Source organism: Homo sapiens, chromosome 10 (genome assembly GCF_000001405.40).
Source record: "Homo sapiens chromosome 10, GRCh38.p14 Primary Assembly".
In the NCBI taxonomy this organism is placed as follows: Eukaryota; Metazoa; Chordata; class Mammalia; order Primates; family Hominidae; genus Homo; species Homo sapiens.
The window spans coordinates 25,046,971-25,071,118 of NC_000010.11; the positions used below are offsets into that span (position 1 = coordinate 25,046,971).

General features: G+C 43.1%; 1 protein-coding gene across 1 annotated transcript in view, besides 6 other annotated features; it reads right to left on the reverse strand.

Annotated features, from left to right (window-relative positions):
* ENKUR (enkurin, TRPC channel interacting protein) overlaps positions 1-15,357 on the reverse strand; it is an 80,343-nt gene extending 64,986 nt beyond the window's left edge. The window contains exons 1-2 of the mRNA NM_001270383.2: positions 15,212-15,357; positions 14,142-14,399 (exon numbers count right to left, since the gene is read on the reverse strand). Coding sequence (NP_001257312.1) covers positions 14,142-14,178 — 37 coding nt within the window. The 5' untranslated portion in view covers positions 14,179-14,399; positions 15,212-15,357. The remainder of the gene's footprint in view (positions 1-14,141; positions 14,400-15,211) is intronic.
* Positions 12,956-14,155: an enhancer, noted in NCBI's record as "BRD4-independent group 4 enhancer chr10:25348855-25350054 (GRCh37/hg19 assembly coordinates)". NCBI's record gives its function as "activates an origin of replication core promoter dependent on BRD2, P300/CBP, MED14 and CDK7 cofactors, and independent of BRD4, by STARR-seq in HCT116 cells {active_cell/tissue: HCT116}" and the evidence as "EXISTENCE:reporter gene assay evidence [ECO:0000049][PMID:35650434]".
* Positions 14,747-15,946: an enhancer, noted in NCBI's record as "P300/CBP strongly-dependent group 1 enhancer chr10:25350646-25351845 (GRCh37/hg19 assembly coordinates)". NCBI's record gives its function as "activates an origin of replication core promoter dependent on BRD2, BRD4, P300/CBP, MED14 and CDK7 cofactors, with strong dependence on P300/CBP, by STARR-seq in HCT116 cells {active_cell/tissue: HCT116}" and the evidence as "EXISTENCE:reporter gene assay evidence [ECO:0000049][PMID:35650434]".
* Positions 20,783-21,342: an enhancer, noted in NCBI's record as "NANOG-H3K27ac hESC enhancer chr10:25356682-25357241 (GRCh37/hg19 assembly coordinates)". NCBI's record gives its function as "activates a minimal SCP1, AML or CMV promoter by ChIP-STARR-seq in naive and primed H9 embryonic stem cells {active_cell/tissue: H9 hESC(naive and primed)}" and the evidence as "EXISTENCE:reporter gene assay evidence [ECO:0000049][PMID:30033119]".
* Positions 20,783-22,159: a biological region, named in NCBI's record as "MED14-independent group 3 enhancer GRCh37_chr10:25356859-25358058".
* Positions 20,960-22,159: an enhancer, noted in NCBI's record as "MED14-independent group 3 enhancer chr10:25356859-25358058 (GRCh37/hg19 assembly coordinates)". NCBI's record gives its function as "activates an origin of replication core promoter dependent on BRD2, BRD4, P300/CBP and CDK7 cofactors, and independent of MED14, by STARR-seq in HCT116 cells {active_cell/tissue: HCT116}" and the evidence as "EXISTENCE:reporter gene assay evidence [ECO:0000049][PMID:35650434]".
* Positions 21,343-21,901: an enhancer, noted in NCBI's record as "NANOG-H3K27ac hESC enhancer chr10:25357242-25357800 (GRCh37/hg19 assembly coordinates)". NCBI's record gives its function as "activates a minimal SCP1, AML or CMV promoter by ChIP-STARR-seq in naive H9 embryonic stem cells {active_cell/tissue: H9 hESC(naive)}" and the evidence as "EXISTENCE:reporter gene assay evidence [ECO:0000049][PMID:30033119]".

Below are 24,148 nucleotides of genomic sequence, written 5' to 3' on the forward strand. Positions count from 1 at the left end.
TTTGCAAGCTAATTTGTGGTCTGGGCCAAACCTGTGGACTCTTACTTTGCTTTTCACCGAATAAAATTAGTGTTTGGCAACAAACTTCAGAGTAATTGACTCTGAGGCTGCTGGCCATTTGGGCATTGTCTATCCAAATTCTTATAGTCCAGAGAACAGAAAAACCCAATTTTTCCTCTCATAAATGTAATTCAAACTCTCAAGGTTTGTTCAGGGATGCTAATTACTCCCTTCAATTTTTCCATGATGAGGCTATTACTGAATGTCAGCAAGCAGGATTCAACATCAGGAGCGTGTGAGGCCACTGGAAAATGTTCCACTGTCTCTCTTTCTTTCTAGGTCACTCAGTATTTGATTATCCAGACTAATTGTGGGCAGGGAAAGCATGAATAATTGAATTGTACAGACAAGCTCTTGTACCTTATTTTGGCTGAAGACTTCCTTCACCGTGCTTCTCAAACTTTTTCTTTTTTTCAGAAGAGCTAACAAGTAAAGTGGAATAGTGTTTCCTGGCTTTGCTCAATTTCCTCTGTCCTTTCAGAAAAGTATTGACAAATACATCTCCCTCCCAAGTGCCCCATTTCTTCTGCCTTAACAAAGCAGTATCAACAATTAGAAACAAAGCACAAGTCTAGGTAATAGTTTTATGAATAAGGTAGACTTGCCTGTTCTAGAACATTCTGGTTATAAAAAGCAAGCCAGATCTTGAGCTTGAGTTTGGCTTTTCCTTTTGTTGATCACTTTCCAACAATTTTAAAGGCGACTTTTCCCCTTTCTTCTCATTATAGGCTTTTTATAGTCTTTTTTAGCACCTCAGAAGTAACAAAGGAAATAAACATTTAACAGATGGTCTTGGCAGTTTTCCTAAAATACATACATAGCATAAAAAGAAAGCATAAATGGAGTTGGTTAGATCTATTTTAATTTGTCTTCTTTCCCACAGAATGGTCACTTGGTCACAATTTTTTTATTGTCATTGTTTCTGCCTTTTATCTTTGTGGTTCCTCGTTCCTCACATACAGTTTCTGAAGCATTCTTCAAGGTCAAGTCCTGTTCCTTCCTTACCCTAATCTCTACACCACAGAGAAAAGTGGATCATACTGTTATCAAAAAGGGCTTCACCAGGCTCCTCTGGAGAGTGTCTGTGGGAAAAATTTGGAAAATCCCAAGTCTGCATGTGGTTCTCTCACAAAACCGCAGGTCATGGGGTGGAAGTAAGCCAAGGAGTATTAGTAAGAAGTGGAAGCAAGGGAGGAGCCGAGAGAATACACTGAGGACTTCTAATTGATAAGTGGGAAAACAAGAAAACCTAGGGTAAAAATGTTAGCCTTGGGTTATAGGGGCAGCCAAAAGAGGAATGATAGATGATCAGAACTAGGGGTCTATATCCGTGAAGCGTGGAGGCGATATATGGGTTCAAGTCCAAGATGTTCACAAACATAAAAGGGGCAGGTAAGTCTCATTAGGTGTAGAAAGCAAAGCCAAGTTCTGAATCTGAGCATTCTGAGTTATAAAGGGACGGGTAATGGGTTAGCGCATCAAGGTCTCCATGGGGAAGCACAGTCCAGCAGAAAGAAAACCAAGCCCCAGTCGTGGAGTTCACACCAAGCAGAAGCTGCTGATGAGAAACAAAGTCCCACACAGGCAATGGCCCAAATCAACAGCCAAAGCAAATGAGATGCAGTCCATGAGCCAAGGTCTCAGATAGCTGTTCTCAGCCCTGCTTTTATGACTTTGCAAAGGGTGTGCTCAGGCTGGGGTTTCAGGGCGTGCTGGGAGTCCAGAGAGGCAAGGGATTCTTCCAAAGTCATTCTCAGATGTTGGAATCTCTTGCAGTTGAGGTCTTTTTATATCTTTACCCCAGCGATTTGGGGTAAGAATAAAACTTCATTTTTTTTTTCTTGAAGATAGATACAGATCAACTTGGAAATGTCCAATGTTATGGGGAAAAGGGAGGAAATGGACATGGAAATCAGAAAGAAAGAGGAAGGAGAAGGCATTCAGTGCCTTCTAGGAGGCTGTATATAAAGAATAGCGATTAAGAAGGCTGGCTTTGAAGTCGTGATGCCTTTATTTTAACCACATCACTACTATTTGCTAGCTGAGTGACCAGGGCAGCATGTTATTGAACCTCTTCACTTTTCATCTGTAAACTGAAGATGATAACATATCCTTCCTTCTAAAGTTGTTGGGAGGGTTAACTGTAAATTACTTAGAGTACTTTGCACAAAGTAGGTGCTCAATATATTTTAGGTGCTACTTCGTTCTCTAGGGGTACATTCTCTCAGATAAGTATTGCTCTCCTACAACGTGCTAGGCACTTTGCTAGGTACTGGGGAAACTGTGATAAACAAAATGGCCAATTTCAGGAGGTAATAAGTGAACAGAATTTGGAAATCTCAATAAGGGTATGTAAATAAAAACTTATGGAAGGTAAAAAAAAGTCAACTTGAGTTACAGATGTCAGGAGATCATCATTCTACTAGTTAAGTTGGGGAAATAGAAAAAGTAATGTTTGTATCAAAACAAGACTTTGGCCAGGCATGGTGGCTCATGCCTATAATCCCAGCACTTTGGGAGGCTGAAGCAGGCAGATCACCTGAGGTCAGGGGTTCGAGACCAGCCTGGCCAACATGGTGAACCCTCATCTCTACTAAAAATACAAAAATTAGCCAGATGTGGTGGCACATGCCTGTAATCTCAGCTACTTGGGAGGCCAAGGCAGGAGAATCACTTGAACCTGGGAAGCGGATGTTGCAGTGAGTCGAGATCATGCCACTGCACTCCAGCCTGACAGAGTGAGACTCCGTCTCAAAAAAAAAAAAAAAAAAGACTTCAAGAATTAAAATTTAAAAAAAAAAAGAGTTAAGAGTTTCTGGGAGACAGTAGTGTATTAGACCATTTTTGCATTGTTATATAGGAATACCTGAGGCTGGGTAATTTATAAGGAAAAGAGGTTTAATTGGCTCATGGTTCTGCAGGCTGTACAAGCAGCATGGTGTCAGCATCTGCATGGGGTGAGGGCCTCAGGAAGCTTCCAATCAAGGTGGAAGGTGAAGGGGGAGGAGGCATGTCACATGATGAGAGCAGGAGCAAGAGGGCAGGGGGATGTCCCAGGCTTTTAGACAACCAGATCTGGTGTGAACTAACTGAGCAAGAACTCACTCATCACCAAGGGGATGGTGCCAAACCACTCAGAAGGGATCTGCCCTTATGATCCAGTCACCTCCCACCACTGGGGATCATATTTCAAATTTCAACATGAAATTTGGAGGGGACAAGCATCCAAACCATATCAAGTAGTAAGAGAAACCATTTTGTATTAGTCTGTTCTCACGCTGCTAATAAAGACATACGTAAGACTGGGTAATTTGTAAAGGAAAGAAATTTAATTGACTCACAGTTCCACATGGCTAGGGAGGCCTCACAATCGTGCAGAAGCCAAAGGAGGAGCAAAGTCACGTCTTGCATGGTGGCAGGCAAGAGAGCATGTGCAGGGGAACTGCCCTTTATAAAACCGTTAGATTTCGTGAGACGTATTCACTACCACGAGAACAGCATGAGAAAGACCTGGCTCCATGATTCAATTACCTCCCACTGGTCCCTTCTACGACTCGTGGGAACTATGGGAGCTACCATTTGAGATTTGGGTGGGGATTCAGGCAAACCATATCATGTTTCATCCTGAGAAACATGTTATTGTAATGACAAGGAGCTGGGGTGATAAGAATGTGCAGAGGAGACAGTGAAACCCAGGATTAGATGCTGCGGTTTGTGGAGAATTTCTTAAAAGGAGGTAATGCTGTCAAAAAGAACAAGGGAATGTCTATGAGACCTACTAATAAGTGGAGTTAAGTCAGATTATCAAACAATATATATGTACCCTACTTAAGTTTCAAAAAAGGTGAAGGGCATTTTATGGTAAAGGAGGACTGTCTTATTAAAATTAACATGGGTCACCTTTGTGCTGATGAAATGTGGTATAAAAAATTTGTTTCTAATTCATTCCAAACTTCATACTTACTTTTTACTGATGATTTATTTTCCCGTGCATGCCTTATAGGTACAGACTTTGAAAATTATGTATTTTATGTATCCTTGGAACTTACAAGTTTCTGCACTTAAAACAGTACACAAAAGCTACATAAACGACCGTATAAAACTGAATGCAGTTGCAAGTCTTGTCCAAAGGATGAATGATTTAAGGGTTTTATAGTTCTTCCCACTCCTGAAATATAGCTCCTCTTCTTGCTTCCAGTTTATTAATAGAGAATAAGCATTTCTACAGTTTGAGATAACATTTGAAATGCAAACCCTCCTTGGAGAAGCAGTACATATGTTCCTATTCCTGCAAAGCTGTGTTGGGTCCCTATTAGGCTGTTCTTGCATTGTTATAAAGAAATACCTGAGACTGGGTAATTTATAAGAAGAGAGGTTTAATTGGCTCATGGTTCTGCAGGCTGTACAGGAAGCATGATGCTGGCATCTGCTCAGCTTGTGGGAAGGCCTCTGGAAGCTTATAATCATAGCAGAGGGTGAAGGCGGAGCAGGCATGTCACTGTGAAGGCAGGAGCAAGGGACAGGAGAGGTGCCACGCACTTTTAAACTACCAGATCTTACAAGACCTCCCTATCACAAGGACAGCACCAAGCAGATGGTGCTAAACCATTTATGAGCAATCCACCCCCATGACCCAATTACCTCTCACAAGGCTCCGCCTCCGGTACTGGGGATTACAATTCAAGAGGAGATTTGGGCAGGGACAAATATCCAAACTATATCAGGTCCTTTCTCTGAAGGTTCGAGAGAGAAGTCACCAAGCCATGGAAGCAATCAAGGCAGAACGAGGAGTACAGAGGCTAATGACCACAAATCCATTGTCCCTACTAGGTCGTCATTCTGCTTAGAGCCTGTCCCCTGTTCCTCTGAAATGATTCTGCAATTCACAGCTAGGATACCTAGTGGCTTGTAGCCATATCTGCATCAGCAACATATACATTTATAAAATAATGTTATTTTCAATTGTTTTAATAGAAAAAAATTCACATTAGGCAGCAAAAATAACAATTTAAGCACCAAAGAATAGAGCAGAAAGTCCATTGTCATTTATCATTAACTAGAAAGTTATGTTCCTTAGAATTCTTGGGTAGAATGTACCAACAGGAGGGACAGGCTGGGTCTCTCACTGTATAATATCTGTGGGAGAGTCTAATAAGTGAGAAATGATTACCTTAGTTGAGCAATTTGATAAGACAAAGCAAACAAAAATAAACCTAAATCTAGCCCTGGCTGTCTGGCAAGTAAAGAGGTCAGTATGCTAAAGGCTGCATTTTATGGATCATGATAAGAGGTGGCCTTATTCGGGCCTTTCAAATTTTTCCTTCATTAACATATTCTTGTTTAAGTATTAAATATTATTATATATTATGGTAAGATATATAATGTTGACTGACATTTCTAAATCCTCAGGAATAGTCACCTAGTAAGTACATTTACACTAATCATGGATTTAAGAAAGTACTAGAGGCGGGGCTCAGTGGCTCATGCCTGTAATCGCAGGCCAAGGTGGGAGAATCGCTTGAAGCCAGCAGTTTGAGACCAGCCTGGGAAACACAGTGAGACATCATCTCTACAGATTTTTTTAAAAAAAATTTAGCTGGGTGTGGTTCTGAGAACCTGTAGTCTCAGCTACTCAGGAGGCTGAGGCAGGAGGATTGCTTTGAGCTCAGGAGTTCGAGGCTGCAGTGAGCTATGATCACACCACTGCACTCCAGCCTGAGTTACAGAGTGAGACTCTCTCTTTTTTTTCTTTTTTCTTTTTTTTGAGACGGAATTTCATTCTTGTTACCCAAGCTGGAATGCAATCTCAGTTCACTGCAAGCTCCGCCTCCTGGGTTCAACTGATTTTCCTGCCTCAGCCTCCCGAGTAGCTAGGATTACAGGCATGCGCCACCATGCCTGGCTAATTTTGTATTTTTACTAGAGACAGGGTTTCACCATGTTGGTTGGGCTGGTCTTGAACTCCTGACCTCAGGTGATCCATCCACCTCGGCCTCCCAAAGTGCTGGGATTACAGGCATGAGCCACCACACCCATCTTGTCTCTTTAAAAAAAAAAAAAAAAGGACTGGAGGAAATAAAATGGGAGGAAACTAATTTTCAGTTAGGCACCTTTTTTCATTTTTTAAATTTTATTGTAAACCGACATTATAATTGTATATATTTATGCAGCACAAAGTGACATTACAATATGTGTATACAAGGTGGAATGGTAAAATCAAGCGAATTAACATATCCATCACTCCAAATACTTATCCCTTTTTGTGGTGAGAACATTTGAAATTTACTCTCTTAGCAAATGAAGTATATAATACATTGTTATTAACTATAGTCTCCAAGCTATGCAATCGATCTCAAAAAACGTATTCCTCCTGTCTAACTGAAACTGCACCCTTTGACTAATATCTCCCCATTTCCCCCACTTCCCAGCCTCCGGTAATCATTATTCTACTCTGCTCCTAGGAGTTCACTGTTTTAGATTCTGCATATAAGTCAGGCCCTGCCCTATTTGTCTTTCTGTGGGCACTAATTTTCTATTATAAATAGTTAGATGCAGCAGCTAGCTCAATGAAAGTAGGTGACTTCAGGTTCATAGGACAATAATAGTAATATTAACAATATTACCTTCGGGTTTTTTACTGCACCATAATTTATTCAATTAATTTTCTGTTCTTGGTCACTCAGGTAGTTTGAAATATTTCGAATGCTGTAAATAACCCTGCAATGAGCATTCTTATACATACATCTTTTTACCCAGCACTGATTTTTTTTAAATTTATGATAAAATATTTAAGACACATGAAAAGGCATAAAAATATTTTTTAAAAAATACTCATGCACCTACCACCCAGCTTAAGAAAGTAAACTTCACTAATATGGTTGGAGCCCCCAAGCATCCTTCTCAATCTCAGCCGCTTTCTTACACCAGTGGTCATCTCCTGACATCGGTGTTTATCATTCTGCATTCCTTTATATTGTCACTACTGGTTGGGTAACTCCAAGCCACACATATATTAATTTCTGAATATAACTTTTCCTGACTGCAAACGTAATGCATGCTCATTGTAGAAAGGTTGGGGATAAAAACTTGCTTTAAATTGAATGGTGCTGGCCGGGCATGGTGGCGCACGCCTATAATCCCAACACTTTGGGAGGCTGAGGTGGGCGGATCACTTGAGGTCAGGAGTTTGAGACCAGCCTGGCCAACATGGTAAAACCCCATCTCTACTAAAAATACAAAAAATTAGCTGGGCGTGGTGGTGGATGCCTGTAATCTCAGCTATTTAGGAGGCTGAGGCAGGAGAATCACTTGAACCCATGAGGCGGAGGTTGCAGTGAGCGGAGATCACGCCATTGCATTACAGCTTGGGCAACAAGAGTGAAACTCCGTCTCAAATAAACAAATAAATAGAATGGTGTTTTTTCTCTTTTCTTTCTTTCTTTCTTTCTTTCTTTCTTTCTTTCTTTCTTTCTTTCTTTCTTTCCTTTCTTTCTTTCTTTCCTTTCTTTCTTTCTTTCCTTTCTTTCTTTCTTTCTTCCTTCTTTCTTTTCTTTCTTCCTTTCTTTCTTCTTTTTGTGCTTTTTCATACAGAAGGTGCTCTCTTATTTCTCACCTCATTTAATTCCATAGCATTTCTATGATGTGGGCGATTAATTTTTTTTTTTTTTTCTGAGACAGGGTCTCACTCTGTCACCCAGGCTGGAGTGCAGTGGTGCAATCATGGCTCACTGCAGCCTCGACCTACTAGACTCAGGTCCCACCTCAGCCCCCCTCATAGCTGGGACCATAGGTGCATGCCACAAAGCCTGGCTAGTTTTTGTGTTTTTGTAGAGACAGGGTCTTGCCATATTGCCAAACAGATCTCGAACTCCTGAGCTCAAGAGATCTGCCTGCCTTGGTTTCCCCAAGTGTTGAGATTACAGGCGTGAGCCACTGCACCTGGCTGGGTTATTCTTTTTCTCCATTTTTGAGGTGAGGAAGAGAGGTTCTGATTGATAAGTAAATATCTCAAGATCCTTGGCTATTAAGTGAAGGAGCCAGAACTCACATCTAAATCTTTTAATTCCAACTTCTGTGGTCATTCTGTTAAAATATCCTACAATTATGCCACCATTTCCCCCCACTAAAATCACCAAGAATCAGGGATGGCCCTTCCTTCTCACTCCTCTCTCCTTGCCCTCTTGTGACTTCATTTCAATTTAAATGCGAAGTGTCAAGTTTATTTTACATTGATTTTGCTTGCATGCAAAAGTTGAGCAGGGAGAAGAAATAAGGGGTGATTTACCATACAGGCCACTTCTAAAAAAAAAAAAAGGTCCTAGTTTTCAGCCTTCACTGGTATTATGCACCTTCCCTCCTGGCTAAAGGCCTGCATTCTGGGCATAGGCATAGCCTTAACCCAATGCTCTGTGAAAGGCCTACACTTCCCAAACATGCCAAGTTGCTTCCCTGTAGTATAATCTCTCTCCACAGACATGAAATTCTCATACATCATTCAGGGATGAAACAAATTGGCAAAAAAAAAAAAAAAAAAAAAAGGGACTGCCCATCAGATGACTCTCTAAATTTGGTCTACGTTGGAATGATAACTTCAACAGTCAGAAGATTCTACAGAAATGGCAATGATCAAAAAATTATCTTCGATTTTTAAAATTTGGGATACCTTCTATTCCTTTATGAGTGATGGCTGAAGGACATGGTGAAGCTCCGTTGTGTATCTTTTCAGCTGCTCTTTACACTTTTACTGAAGACCCTCAAAACGGTATGATGCATCTGTTTATCCCTGCAGCATCAACCAAATATCTACTTTTCCATTAGAGGAATTCAAGCCAGCAACTGATGCAACTCCAGCCTGCCAGGTATGAAGAAGGCTATGAAATTCTTCTGCAGTCGTTGTTTTCTGCTGGCATGGGTTGCACTGTATTGCTTATAACTTAGAAGTTGGTAAGAATGTTGCACCATTATCATTGTCATGATCATCACCATCATTGTCATTATAAGGGCCATTTGGAGTATCTACTGTATTCCTGACTGTCTTTATCTCCTTCAAGATATTGTTATCTCCACTTTACAAATGAGAAAACTGAGGCTCAGGAAGGTTAATCAGCTAGCCTGAGTTCACCCTGTTAGTGATAGAGTCGGAATTTGAATCCAGGTCTGTTGGAAATCAAAGCCCATGCTCTGCAATGAGCAGTGCCTTTGTGAAGCACTTATGTCACTCATATGCCATGAACTATAGGCTGTATACAGAGATGACAATACCTGCCTCATACCCCAGAAGTTCTCAGCTCAATGGGAAGGTAACAGCACACGCAGAATCAATTCCAATGCAGGTCAGTCATGCAAATTTCTATAGAGGGACTAGGAACATCTCTTATGAGAATGGGGGAAGACGCATTCATATTTTGGGAAAATTAGGGATTTGAGAAGGCTTTAAAAAGGTAGAACTTCATCAGGTATCACTATGGAATCATTTGGTAAAGAGAACATACAGTTGTTAAGTCTCGAGTTGGGAGAACGTACTTAGCGTTTAGAAATTGTAAGTAGGTATGAAGATAAGGTGATTGATGGGTGTTATTTCAAGGGAAATATACCTGGAAAGCCAGCAGTCAATTTTTGGAAGGGCTAGACTTCTAATAAAAACAAGAGTAAAAGACTGCAAGACATACTGAAACGTTAGTGCCTAATGTACTTTTAGGAAGTAACTGGCATCACCAGAGACTAGTGGCCTGTGTCATATCATTGGGGTGTCAATATAGAGAGGCTATTTGTTCTGTTTATTAATGGCAAAGTGCTGAAAACTCAAAACTTAACACTAGGACCTGGTCTAAATGAGACAGGCACCTGCAGCTAGGACGTTGCCAAGAGTGGCCATTATGGAAGTGATCCAGGTAGGTTCTGGAATCAATACCTACTGAGCACATGTCTGCAGACAGATGTCATAGCTAGAGCAGGACTGGTCTCATCGCTCTCCAGATCAAAGTCGCTGTCAAAGCATTCTTCTCCAAGATCAGAAAGACACATTTTACTTGGAAATAAATCCCTCCTCCTCTAAAGACTCAAGTAATAATAGTTGGTGAGAAAAAGTAAAAAGAAAATGAGCTATATAATACAAAATGTATGTACATTTAGAATCGATTTGTCCAAAGTAATACATATTTTTGCAAGATGGTATGCATCCACAAAGATACAAACTAAAGTCATCAGAATGGCTGCCTGGAAAGGGAAGGGGAATGGGAGTGAAGTAATGAGATAGAAGAAATAAAAAAACAGTGATGCCTTGTATAGTTTACAGCTAACACTCTGTGAGGGACTAAGATATGTAATCAGCTTAACCCTCTGCACTTTGGTACACACACACACACACACACACACACACACACACACACACACACACACAATGCCCTTAAATCGCTCTTCAGTTCTTGTCTATGAATGCTGGGAAGATTAAGGACACTAGTATTAGCTTGGTGACCCATTATTGAAAAGTGATAACATTTTATTCAATGAATTAATTGGCTCCATAATGTTTCCAGACTCCTAGGTTCTGGAAAAGTCAGTATCAGGCTGCTGCTGCTAAGTCTGCCATATCAAAATTATCACCCTTGTACCACTACCTCTGTGGGATAAGGAAATGGTCTTACTCAACAATCAAGCACATACAGAAAAGGGCATTGCCTCCCAATAGTGTTGGTAGCTGAATTTTAGTTTCCCCTTCCTCTTGCCCTTTTGACCAGCATTTTTTGTTTAAGAGGCAGCCTGCACCTGTGTTTGAGTGACCCTGCCCAGGGAATCTTGGAGAAAGGGCAGTTAGGTATTTATTTCAGGTCACTGGAAATCTCAGAATGCAAACTTTACCTAGTGTTTACATATATAAATATGTAGGCATGGTGGTGCAAAAGTAATTTTATATATATATAAAATAACATCATGATAAAACAGTGTCTTAGGTTACATCACAAAAGCCTCTCTTCTGTTAGCCTCAGTAATGCCAAACCCCAAGAGTGGACGGAGGTGAGTGAGGTTGATAGGAAGAAAGCCCCTGTCAGCTGAAACGCTTCGTGCCCAGAGTCCACGAGTAATCTGTTTCCTTCCTGGTTCAGGAAGGTCTTATGGCTATTGTCACCTTCCTCCCTCTACTTGTCCTCTATCACTCAATTTTTGGTGTTTTTGTTGTTGTTGTTTTGGCTTGGTTTGAGACAGAGTCTCACTCTGTCACCCATGCTGGAGTACAGTGGTATGATCACAGCTCACTGCAGCTTTGAACTCCTGGGTTCAAGTGATCCTCCTGCCTCAGCCACCCGAGTAGCTGGGACTACAGGCATGCACCACTATGCTCACTAAATTTTCAATTTTCTGTAGATATGGGGGTCTCACTATGATTTTCAAACTGGTGTCAAATTCCTGGCCTCAAGCGATCCTTCTGCCTTGGACTGTCAAAGCACTGGAATTACAGGCATGAGTCGTTGGGACCAGACTCATTCAATTTTAAATAGAGCAAAAATTGGTTCTCACCCTTGATCTATCCCATACTGATTAGAAATGAGAGCGCTTATTCATGACACAGAGATAGCCAACAAGAGAGAGACCTATAGCTGGCCAATTAGTAAGGAGGGGGAGGCCAGGTGCAGTGGCTCATGCCTGTAATCCCAGCACTTTGGGAGGCGTAGGCGAGCTGATCACCTGAGGTCAGGAGTTCGAGACCAGCCTGGCCAACATGGTGAAACCCTGTCTCTACTAACAATACAAAAATTAGCCAGGTGTAGTGGCTCATGCCTGTAGTCCCAGCTACTCGGGAGGCTGAGGCAGGAGAATCGCTTGAACACAGGAGGTAGAGGTTGCAGTGAGCTGAAATTGTGCCACTGCACTCCAACCTAGGTGACGGAGTGAGACTCCATCTTAAAAAAAAAAAAAAAGTAAGGAGGGGGAGACCCAGGGCCCACCTGAAACTCAGATACAAACCCATTCCTCCAAGAAGCAGGTGCTCACTTCCCTCCCCACCCACCCAACCTTCAGATTGTAGTTTTCCCCTTTGTAGTCTAATTTTCTATCTAAGAGGGCACTTCATTGATGTTTGTTTTGCCCTAATATTCTTTTTCTTTCTTTTTTTTTTTTTTTTTTGAGAAGGAGTCTCGCTTAGTCATCCAGGCTGGAGTGCAATGGCGCAATCTCTGGTCACTGCAACCTCTGCCTCCCAGGTTCAAGCGATTCTCTTGCCTCAGCCTCCAAGTAGCTGGGATTACAGGTGCCCGCCACCACACCCATCTAATTTTTGCATTTTTAGTAGAGACAGGGTTTCACCATATCTTCCATGCTAGTCTCCAACTCCTGACCTCAGGTGATCCACCCGCCTCAGCCTCCCAAAGTGCTGGGATTACAGGCGTGAGCCACTGCACCCAGCCTTGTCCTAATTTTCTTAGTATAGTATTATACTATGTATGGAGATCTGTATATAACATAAAAAAATTCATATGGTAAAGTAACAAACATCAAGGCAGCTTTCAACACCTCCATGAGGGAGCAGACCCACCCATCTATTTCATTCATTACCATAGCTCCAGCACACAGACCAGTGCCTGGTACCCCCACTGGGCACCCCCCAAAAAATGCTAACAAGCACTTGTTGCATGAAATTACATTTTAGGGCCAGGCATGGTGGCTCACGCCTGTAAGCCTGGAACTTTGGGAGGCCAAGGTGAGAAAATTGCTTGAACAACCCAGGAGTTTGAAACTGCAATGAGCTATGATAGTGCCACTGCATTCCAGCCTGGGTGACAGTGCAAGACCAGTCTCTTAACAAAAAAAAAAAGAAGGAAAGAAATTACATTTTAGTGGGGATGGAAGGAGGCTATGCCAGCTGGTATTGACATAAGGAGAGGCTAAAAAACCCTGGATGAATTGGAGTTGGTTCACCATTTTGCCTCGGGCAGCCTTGTGTGCGTTCTGTGGGGTTGGGAGTGATAATGAGTGATAATCCCTGTTCCTAATCCCTGGCTGTCCCAGGTGAGTGGTTGTCTAATATATGCAACCCTTTTATCTGCCTGGGCTTCTCTGCTTCCTGAAGGCGGGGTGCTTAGGAAGCCTGTGAAGCCGACCTGTCTGTACGTCTGTACAAGGAGAGGCCAAGGTAATAGGATGCTGTGGAGTCTAATTCAATGTGATAACAAGAAGAAAACCCGAGGGTGACTCAGACTCTAAAAATGTGTTGTGCAAGCAGACCGGGCGCCAGGCTCCTGGGTAATTTGGCTGGGCTGGAACAGGCTCCGGAGGAGGAATGCTGGTCTCCATTCTCATAACACACACTCCAACAGGGAGCCAAAGAATACCATGACCAGAAATTGGTCCACACTGCTCTAATTTCTCAAATAGATCCGCAGCAGAAAACACAGTTCTCATCCTCAACAGGTAAAGTCTATTGAAGAAAAATAATACTTGAAAGTCCCTTAGTTACAAATAAACTGAAGAAGTACATTATCCTCTCCCCACATACTCTCCACATAAGCATAAATACACCGAAAATACGATGCCGTTTTCCAAGAGGGAACTTTTCCAGTTTCTGTCATCTTCAATTATAAAGTTTGAATGGGGCTTGAACCTAAATTGAATGCTAGAGACTTCACTCTGTTGGCAGGGTAGACCCCACCCAAGCAGTGCTAGGGAAAGATGATGTAAAACCCACGTGTTTTTGTTTTTTTAGAGACAGGGTCTTACTCTGTTGCCCAGGCTTGACTGCAGTGGCACAATCATAGCTCACTGCAGCCTCAAACTCCTAGGCTCAAGTGATCCTCCTGCCTCAGCCTCCTGAGTAGCTAGGACTACAGGTGTGTGCCACTATGTTCAGCTAATTTAAAAAGTTTTTTTTTTTTTAGAGACAAGATCTCACCATGTTTCCCAGGCTGGTCTTGAACTTCTGATCTTAAGTGATCCTCCCACCTCAGCCTCCCAAAGTGTTGGGACTACAGGCAAGAGCCACTGGGCCTGGCCCTTATGTTTCTTTAGATGAGACAAGGATATCTCTAAGGCCCCCTATTAGGCTGGCTGCCCAGATGCAAAACCTGTGAACACAAGAATGTCAGTATTACCTGGGGAGCCACCTCCAGTCACCCGCTCTGTCTTCATGCTCCGTGGTGAACAATCTCCATAAGAAGTTCATAGGTGTTGGACACGTGTGGCCAGGCCCTGGGCTTTGAAATCGACCCTGGTTTGCAGCTATATGGTTGATGCTGCCAGACACATCCAGATATGGAAAATCAACTTTATCCCAGGCTTTCTTGTGCCGCTCCTCCAGCCGCCTGCTCTGTTGGGTGCAGCTCCTTCTGTTCCATTTTGCTTCATGGGCTCTGGAAGGAGGAGTAACAGTGCACAGATGGCAAGGTGGAACCTCCCAACACAAACTGAATCTCTTCCTCCTTCTGCTCCTCATTGCCTGAGCCTACTGTTCTCCCCCGCCACCACCATTTCTATTTTCAGGAAAAAAAGGAAAAAACTTTGGTGATCTACAAGCTTTGGGTGACTTTTCCTTTGAGCAGGATAACCAGAGCAGCTAGGTGATTTTCCAAATGCTGGCTATGGCTAAACCCAGTCTCAAACAAAATCGGAAAATCAACATGTTTCTCTTCAGATTTTCCAACAACCCCTTTCTTCATCTCTCTCCAACCTACAAGCTGCCCTTCTCCACCTGACATCCCAGTAGTGGGTGACTTCCAGCAGCTGGAGGCACTTCCCACCTTCCCCAGACCTAGGCCTGCACATTCTTCTCTCCCTTCATCTCTGTCTCTTCAGTCTGAGAAGTTAGTCTGAGGCGTGACTGCTGCATCATCAATGACTGCGTTAGAAACCCCAGCGATTCACTGCTATGTTCTTTATATGTAGGATAGTTACTGGCACATGGAAGGCACCCAATATGTATTTGCTGAGTCAGACTGCAAAAGTGTGCAACTGGCTGAGACTCTTGGGGGTATTTGCACAGAGAAATAACGTAACGATAACGACTACTAGCTAACTGCCATTTACTAGTCACTTTACACAGTCTAAAAGCAGGATCTCGACATTTCTAACAGCTTGATGACCTCATATTTAATGTGGTTTTGTACAGAAATTTCCCTGGAACCCCACACATGACATTGTTTGGAGCGACTCCTTCCTTGCTTACCTATAAGCCTAATCCTGCGTATTGAGTCATTCTCTTCTTGAGCAAGTAGGACTTGTTGCTCTCTTGTCACTTTTCCACCAGTGTTCCTCTCTTAAGGGAGAGAAAAAGTTAAACATGCCTGCTTTTCAGTGTCTATAGACGATTGTGGAATGTTTGAGGAAAACCTTGGACTTTTTCACAGCCACTCCCTGTCTGGGCAGCCTCGGGTCAGCCTCCTCCTGCAGTTTTTCTTTCTGTTTTTCCCCTCTGTGTGTCCCTCCTAAGAATGTGGTCCTATTTCCTGGAGCAGGAGCCTGTCTGCAGGCATGGCTGGGAAGGAAGCCCTGGCCATGAGCTGGGCTGATGGCACCTCTGGAGCTGGCTTTCCGGCAGCTGGTGACACAGCGGGTCTGGCCTCATTCATTACTAATTGTTGACGCTGTGTTCGGAGGAACGTGTTAGTAACAGCACGTACCTTGATCAGCCACACTCAGGCCTGGGTGGAGGAGATAGGTGGTGACTCACACAGTGGTGGAAGAGGGCCTGGTCACCTGGGCTGCCCGAAAATGACAGGAAAGGCAGGGCCAGGAAAGGAAATCCCCCTGCACATCACCTCCCTCCCCTTCCCACTGCATGCTCCACCCCTGCACCACAGGCACTTGCTTCTCACTCCTCTGTGTTTTTTTGTGGTTTTTTTTTTTGTTTTTTTTTTTTTTCAGATGGAGTCTTGCTCTGTTGCCCAGGCTGGAGTGCAGTGGCGCAATCTTGGCTCACTGCAACCTCCGCCTCCCGGGTTCAAGCTATTCTCCTGGCTCAGCCTCCCAAGGAGCTGGGACTACAGATGTGCGCCACCACACCTGGCTATTTTTTTTGTATTTTAGTAGAGATGGGTTTCACCACGTTGGCCAGAATGGTCTCGATCTCCTGACCTTGTGATCTTCCTGCCTCAGCCTCCCAAAGTGCTGGGATTACAGGCATGAGCCACTGTGTCTGGTCTTTTTTTTTTTTAAGAGTCTCACTCTGCTGCCCAGGCTGGAGTGTAGTGGCATCATCATAGCTCACTGCAGTCTCAAACTCCTGGACTCAAGAAATCCTCTTGCCTCAGCCTCCTGAATAGCTGGAACTACAGGTGTGTTCACCATGCCTGACTAAGTACTTAAAAAATTTTTTGTAGAGATGCGGTCTCACTATGTTGCCTAGGCTGGTCTCAAACTCCTGACTTCAAGCCATCCTCCCATCTCAGCCTCCCACAGCAATGGGATCACAGGTGTGAGCCAGCATGCCTGGCTCCTGTGTTTTTACTTGTCATTCCCTGTGCTTATAATGCTCCTCCCTCAAATCTGTATTGGTTTAGTCTTCCTTGTGCATCAAAGCCCCATTCAAATATTTTCTCCCCTTTGAGACTTTCTCCTGTTCCCCCTTGCAATTGAGAAGCCCTTTGTGCAAAACCACACTCTGTAGACAATTACTAAATTGAGTCATAGTTGCTCTGATGTGTCCCAGTTGCCAGCAGATTTGGACTACTTGAGGACCGGGGCTCTCCCGTGTCCATCTTTGTTCCCACTTTACCTAACCAGGAGCTGCCAATAACAGACACTCACTAAATGTTCATGGGCAGATTGTGGAATGAGGCAGGCACACTCTGCAAGGGACAAGTGACACCGGCTCAATAGGTCGGACGTGCGCAGATGGTTTGAGAGCAAAGTCTGTAACTCTGGAGTGTTTTCCATCTTCAAGCCCCCTCAAAATCTATTTGCTCTTCCCAGAAAGATTCTTGCCATATATTTGGTGGTTGGAGTGGTCTTGTCACCGGCCTTCAAGAACACTGATTATTGTTTGAAGGGTACACCGCCATTGAAAGAGTAGCTGATTTCCTCAGCCACCGTGCGTGTGTCAATAAGATTTTATAAAGTACCTGTCTCAGTGCTCAGCTTTATAAGAAATGAAGTGGAGGATTCAAAAGGGGTAGAAGACATAGACTCCACTCCTGTAGACCACAAAGCCTCGTCCAAAAGAGAACATGGCTGAAATGAGAACATGTGAATCACCAATGGTAGACCTGTGGTGGCAAGGGGAGAATCACTCAATGTTTTCAAATAAAGAAATTCCTGCTTGTCATTTCCCTGGCTCTTTCTATATGAACTTGTTCATGTTCGAAACAGCTTGACTGAAAATCAGTACTTGCAGTTAAGAACACTTTATTTTTAAGTTTTTTTGAACTTTATTTTTTATTTTTGTAGAGATAAGGGGTCTCCCTGTGTTGCTAGGCTGGTCTCGAACTCCTGGGCTCAAGAGATCCTCCCAGCACAGCCTCCCAAAGTGCTGGGATGACAGGTATGAGCCACTGCACCCATCATTGCTCTTAATTCAGATTGAGGTGTTGATTCACGGGGCAAGATGGAATGGCATGAAGGAAACTCAGTGGGAAGGATGAAACAGAGGCAGAGAATGGTTAAGAGATTCTTGTTGTAGTTCAGCCAGGAGGCTACAGGGACTAGACTAGGCTACAGGGACTAGACTAGGCTGTCATAGGGAGAGAAATAGAAGGAGTGGCCCAGATAACTGGTTGCAACCTCTCCTAACTCCCAAAGAAGGAGGGAAGGGTAAAATTTTGCCAGGATAAAGAGAGGATGACCAAAGAAACAGAGCTCCAAAGAAGGGACTTTTTTTTTTTTAAAAAATCACTGAAGGCTACCATTATATTTGATTTATTTTTATTTTATTTTACTTTTTGAGACAGTGTCTCACTCTGTCACCCAGGCTGGTGTGCAGTGGTGCAATCATGGCTCACTGCAACCTCTGCCTCCCGAGTTCAAGCAATTCTCATGACTCAGCCTCCCAAGTAGCTGGGATTACTGGCAGCTGTCACCACACCTGGCTAATTTTTGTATTTTTAGTAGAGATGGGGTTTTACCATTTGGCCTTGAACTCCTGACCTCAGGTGATCCATCCGCCTCGGCCTCCGAAAGTGCTGGGATTACAGCCATTAGCCACCGTGCCTGGCCCTTTCATTCTTCAAGTAAGAATCGTTTTACACTGACTTCCTCTCTGTCTGGGGCTGGGGATTTGTATAGGAGGCGGTGATGTGGTTTGCATCTGTGTCCCCACCCAAATCTCATGTTGAATTGTAATCCCCAGTGTTGAAGTTTGGGCCTGGTGGGAGGTGACTGGCTCATGGGGTGAATTTGTCATGAATGCTTTAGCACCATCCTCCTTGGTACTGTCCTTGCAACAGTGAGTGAGTTCTCGTGAGATTTGGTGATCTTAAAGTGTGTGGCCCCTCCCACCTCTCTCACTCCTGCTCCCTCCATGTAGGACACTTACTCCTCCTTTGCCTTCCACCATTATTGGAAGCTTCCTGAGGCCTTCCCAGAAGCAGAAGCTGTTATGCTTCCTGTGCAGCCTGCAGGACCGTGAGCCAATTAAACCTCTTTTCTTTATAAATTACCCCATCTCAGATATTTCTTCATAGTAACACAGAAACAGACTAATACAGGTAGTAAGGAGGAAACAAATTCCACAGGAAAACTGTACTTCTGCTTGAAATCTCAACTGCCCCTAGTTTTGCATCTGTGTCTTCTTAGTCCTGGAAGAAATTTGATCCCTAGGCCCTTGTTCTGCTCTCTGCCCTTGAGTTCCATCCACAAGTCCCTACTCTACTCTCCACAGGAAGAGGCTACTGAACTTGATGTTGGAATTGATCCTAATGTACAGACCTAACCCTCAGAGAAAGTTTGACCCACCCGTGGGGAGATGGAGTCATGACTCCAGAAGATTCTCCAGCACGCTCCTTCCCTGGGGTTGTAAGGGTGCCTGAAAGTGGAAGCTCATAGATTCTTAGAGTTGAAAGGCCCATGTGCAGGGCATCTTCTTCAGTCCCCACCCTGTATAGGAATCTCTTCCTTAACATCCTTGCCAGGCAGCAACAACCTCAGCCAAACATTACCAGGAACAAGGTTAGACAGAGCAGGGACCCCCCATAGGGGCCTGCCAGTCACCCCAACAATCTTCCCAAGCATGGAAAGAAAGAAAAATTTAGAGTTCATTCAAGGGAAGTTCCAGGAACCTAGCTAGCCTTGAGAAGTAGATGAGGAACTTTATAATCGAGAAGATTTGCTGAGTATGTAAACCTGAACATCCTGCACATGTACCTGGGAACTCAAAATTTTTAAAAAAAGATTATATCAACCCTCTGTCAGAAGACATCATGAAAAAAAATACAAAACATTTAAAAAGGTAATAGCTTAAAACAATCACCAAGGAAGTTAGAGTCACAAAATGTTTTGTGACTATAGAAACTATAGAAACTAAAGACGACATCTTAACATGCGTCCCTGAGCTGTTTTTCAGAAACCCAGACGCCACCGAATGGAAAATACCATCTGCTAGAATGTAGACCTCAGAGAAGGGGAAGCTGAGGACTGAACTCTGACCGCCATTCTTTATCTAAATTTCTTCCTGGGGTCCTGGAGGAGGTCACACCCACGAGCCAGAGCTAACATTCTTTTCTGCTGGCCCCAAATTTTTAGAGAAAGCTTCAGCTCCTTAACCAATCTCAAATCAGAAAATCTTCTAATCTGGCCGGGCGTGGTGGCTCATGCCTGTAATCCCAGCACTTTGGGAGACCGAGGTGGTGGATCACCTGAGGTCAGGAGTTCGAGACCAGCCTGGCCAACATGGTGAAACCCCGTTTCTACTAAAAATACAAAAGTGGCCAGGCATGGTGGTGTGCTTCTGTTATCCCAGCTACTTGGGAGGCTGAGGTAGGAGACTCACTTGAACCCAGGAGGCAGAGGTTGCAGTGAGCCAAGATCGCATCATTGTACTCCAGTCTGGGCAAAAAGAGTGAAACTCGTCTCAAAGTAAAATAAAATATCTTCTAATCTACCCCAGCATACCTGCTTTGAGATGTTCCCCCTTTTTAGGTCAAACCAATATGTCGCCTTCATGTATTGATTTATGGCTTTGCTTGTCACCTCTGGCTCCCCACCTTTGAAGTCCCTTACCTGTAAACTGTCAGGGAATTCACATCTTAACCACATGCTGTCAATTCTCCTTCCTGGGCATCCTGCAATAAATCTCCCACTTTCTCTTGCTGCAATCCTGATGTGAGTATTGGCTTTGCAGAGCCCAGTGCGTGGACCCAAGGTTGGTTCAGTAACAAAGGAAATCAGGACCATTTAGGCCACTGTTGGACATTCCCAAGACCAGAAAATTCTTTATTTTAAGCTAAAATCCAATTTGAAATGAATTGACATTATGAAAAATTTATTTATTTTATTGCAATATTTTGCCCTAAAAAAAAATAATTTTAGATTGCACTGAAAGGCACATAATATTTTAGAAAGCTCCAGGCATGGTGGCTCATGCCTGTAATCCCAGCACTTTGGGAGGCTGAAGCAAGCAGATCACTTGAGGTCGGGAGTTCAAGACCACCCTGGCCAACATGGTAAAACCCTGTCTCTACTAACAAAAATACAAAAATTAGCTGGGCATGGTGGCGAGCGCCTGTAGTTCCAGCTATTCTGGAGGTTAAGGCAGGAGAATCACTTGAACCCATAGGCGGAGGTTGCAGTGAGCCAAGATTGTGTCATTGCACTCCAGCCTGGACAAGAGAGCGAGACTCTATTTCCAAAAAAATATATTTTAGAAAGGGATGAGGGAGTTCATAATCCTCCTGAAATTATGTAATTATGTACAAAAGTATGTATATGCGTATGTGCTCTTCGTTTTTTCTTTTTTCTGCATATTGGGTCCAGAGCTTTCATGGGACACCTAAGGGTCCTCAGTGATTCTGTGCTATCCCAGAAGTGTGATGTTGAGTTGAAGGTGTCACACTTAAACAAAATACAGACAGGCCACATCTCACTCAGGGGGAGGCATCCTGGCTCCATCAGCTTGCCCAGGGTGGCAGGGTCTTCTCTTTAGCCCAGAATAAGTACCCTTTCCCAATCAGAGCCCAGTGAATGTGCCATCTGTCTCAAGCCCAGCCACATAAAATCATGATGCTACCCGGGGCCTTTGTTTCGGGTAGTGCTCTTATTTTTCAGGGTGGCAGCCTGTCTGCGCCTTGACTCCTCTACGTCAGCACTGCTCAGCTATGGAAAAGTCATGAGGGATAATGGTGGTGTTTGTAGAGCCAGCATGTGTCATGTGGGTTTTCAGACAAAGGGATACAGAGACTCATGCTTTACTAACTCATCATCTGCATACCCATTCGGGAAGAGGAAATGACTGGGGCCACATCACTCCAAGCTTGTCTCTACTTGTCCTTGTGACGAGTATCTCACGCACACAAAGGGACACTTTTTTCTCTTGTTTTCACTAGCAAGTCCTATGTAGGGATGACATCATCTCTGTGCTGATTTACTTTAAAATACTTTCGTGCAATCGACACCCTAGGAGGAGGGAGGAAGGAGGAGGTATTTGAAGTACCCTAATCAGACATCCACGTTCCAAGAGTTGTTAGTTAGCATTTGAAACATCCTAATTAGGGATCCACACTTAGGAGGGGGTTACTTAGCACTTCAAATATTGTTATTGAAATCTACCCCACAAACGGTGTGTTCATTAGCATAAGAGATGGTGGAAGTAAAAATTTCCCTGGTGGAATGGTAGCTTTCAAGGGATGATTTTGACTGGAAAGAGTGTGCTTCCCACCACCCCAGCTGGAACAAGGTTTAAGAATGCAGCAAGCCAAAGACAATACTCCCATAGACAAACTACAGGTACAGAGCCCCATGCTTCCTGAGGCCCCTACATCCCCCCTTTCATACTGTATGTAGGACTCTGTTGTCCTGTCTTTAAAATATGGTGGCATTCCATTGCAGTGTACATTTTTATGTGCATTTTCAGTGCAAGGTGCTTACCAGAGTGTCCAGGATCAGAGAGCAGGACTAGACATCAACAGGTGAATGAGAGTTTCTGTGCCTGCTCACTAAGTCTTGCTTTCACCAGCTAATAAATGCTGAAACCTAGTGAGTAGTGACTACCTGTCACTAACTGCTGTTTAGTCCCCTGTTCAATGGAATGGTTAAACTGGCAACACCAGGTCTCAAAGAAAATCAAAGATAAATAAACTAGAGCCTTAGCATATAAATATCCTCAAGTTTCTCCTGTACAATTTAAGATCTTTCAAGAAGGCCAGGCACAGTGGCCTGTAATCCCGGCACTTTGAGAGGCCGAGGCAGGAGGATTGCTTGAGCCCAGGAGTTTGAGACCAGCCTAGGCAACATAGGGAGATCCCGTCTTTACAAAAAAATGAAAAATTACCTGGCTGTGGTGGCACACACCTGTGGTCCCAGCTACCCAGGAGGCTGAGGTGGGAGGATCACTTGAGCCTGGGAGGTGGAGGCTGCGGTGAGATTATGTCTATAAGGAGCTCAGTGCCTGCACAGGAAAAATGTGATCATTTTTGCTTTTATTATTAATCACCTAGTTAACTTCCACTTGATCATTAAAATTCATCTCAAGTGTCTTCCTTTCTTAGAGGTTTCTCTAGTCACCTCCTTAAGTCCCTACTCTGTGTTGTCACAAAGCCTGACCAACCTCTATGGAAGCATGTACCATACTCTATGGCTAATTTCTTTTTATGTGTTAATCTCCACTGTTAGCTCCTTGAGGGCAGGAATTATGCCTTGTTTGTTTTATGTCCCCGGTACCTACTATATAATAGATATTCAAGAAATATTGAATGAATGAACAAATGCATAAATTAGATGGGGATATACAGCTTTATGCAGAGACCCCCTGGGAGGGGTCTTTGAGAGTTACCATCCTACCCAATGGTTGAATGGTAGTTGGGGGGAAGAGGAGAAAACTGAGTTCGATTTGGAAATTACAGATAGAATTTTGCTTAATATATAGAAGCACTTCTGTGATTATCAAAAAATGGAAAGGAATACTTCAGTGGTATTTCTCCAAAGTTATTTCAGCAGAGGTTAGTAGCGTGGTGAATTTTATTCACTCACTCCATAAGAGATTTGCCTAGGAGTTATTGTCTATCTCTAACATTGCGTGACAATTCCATACGAGAAATAAAGGGCTATGAAACAGTCTCCCATAAACATTTGGGCTTTATTGCATGTTGATTCTATGTCTTAATATCCTTATCTCTTCTCCTAAATGTGCTTTTTAGTTTTCAAATGATCTGTATCTCTTTTTGATCAGCTCCCTTACTTATATATGTACTTATAGGCAGTTTTTTTGATAAGATGACATAATCTGTGAGGCTTTTGCTTGGCTGTTGGGAAATGGAGATAATTGTAAATTATTCATATCAAATTGTTGGATTTTAGGTCTACTTGCTGAAAACACAGGGATGGCCAAGGAGGTCATTTTGGTTTTAAAACCAGAATGGCTTTAAACAAAAAATGGCTTTAAGACCAAAAGTCAGGTAAATCTTGTGCTGAACTAAACCTCTAACTTCACAGTGTTATTCATTGAATGCTAAAAAAATTTTATAAAGCCTCCAGAGAATAGTCAAACCCCCAATAAATCCAAGGCCCACACTACTTTTTCCAATTGCAGTAGCCAATTGATGATTGAATGGGAATATTTGCAAGCCATAACTGTCTTCAGACCATGTAACCAGGAAACTAACCATGTTATCTCTGGAACAAGCCTTTCCACTCAGTGCAGGACACAGAGGGGGCCTTTCCACTAAGCAGACAGACTTTTTATTTTGTGAGTAGGTAAAAAATAGATCTAATCTACTCATCTAGAATGATCTTGCCATTTTTATTATAAAAATCAGAGAATGGCAGCACTGTAATAAACATTTAGCAATATATATTTTTTTTCTGAGGCTTTTTTGGAAATACAGAGAGGCTTCTATTACCTTAGGAAATAACCAGGTAACTCCAAGTATTTATATCCTATACACACTTTTTCTTCATTCCTTTATGGATTTTTCTCTGTATCAGTTGAGTAAGGATCTGAGATAGAATGGAAGCTATG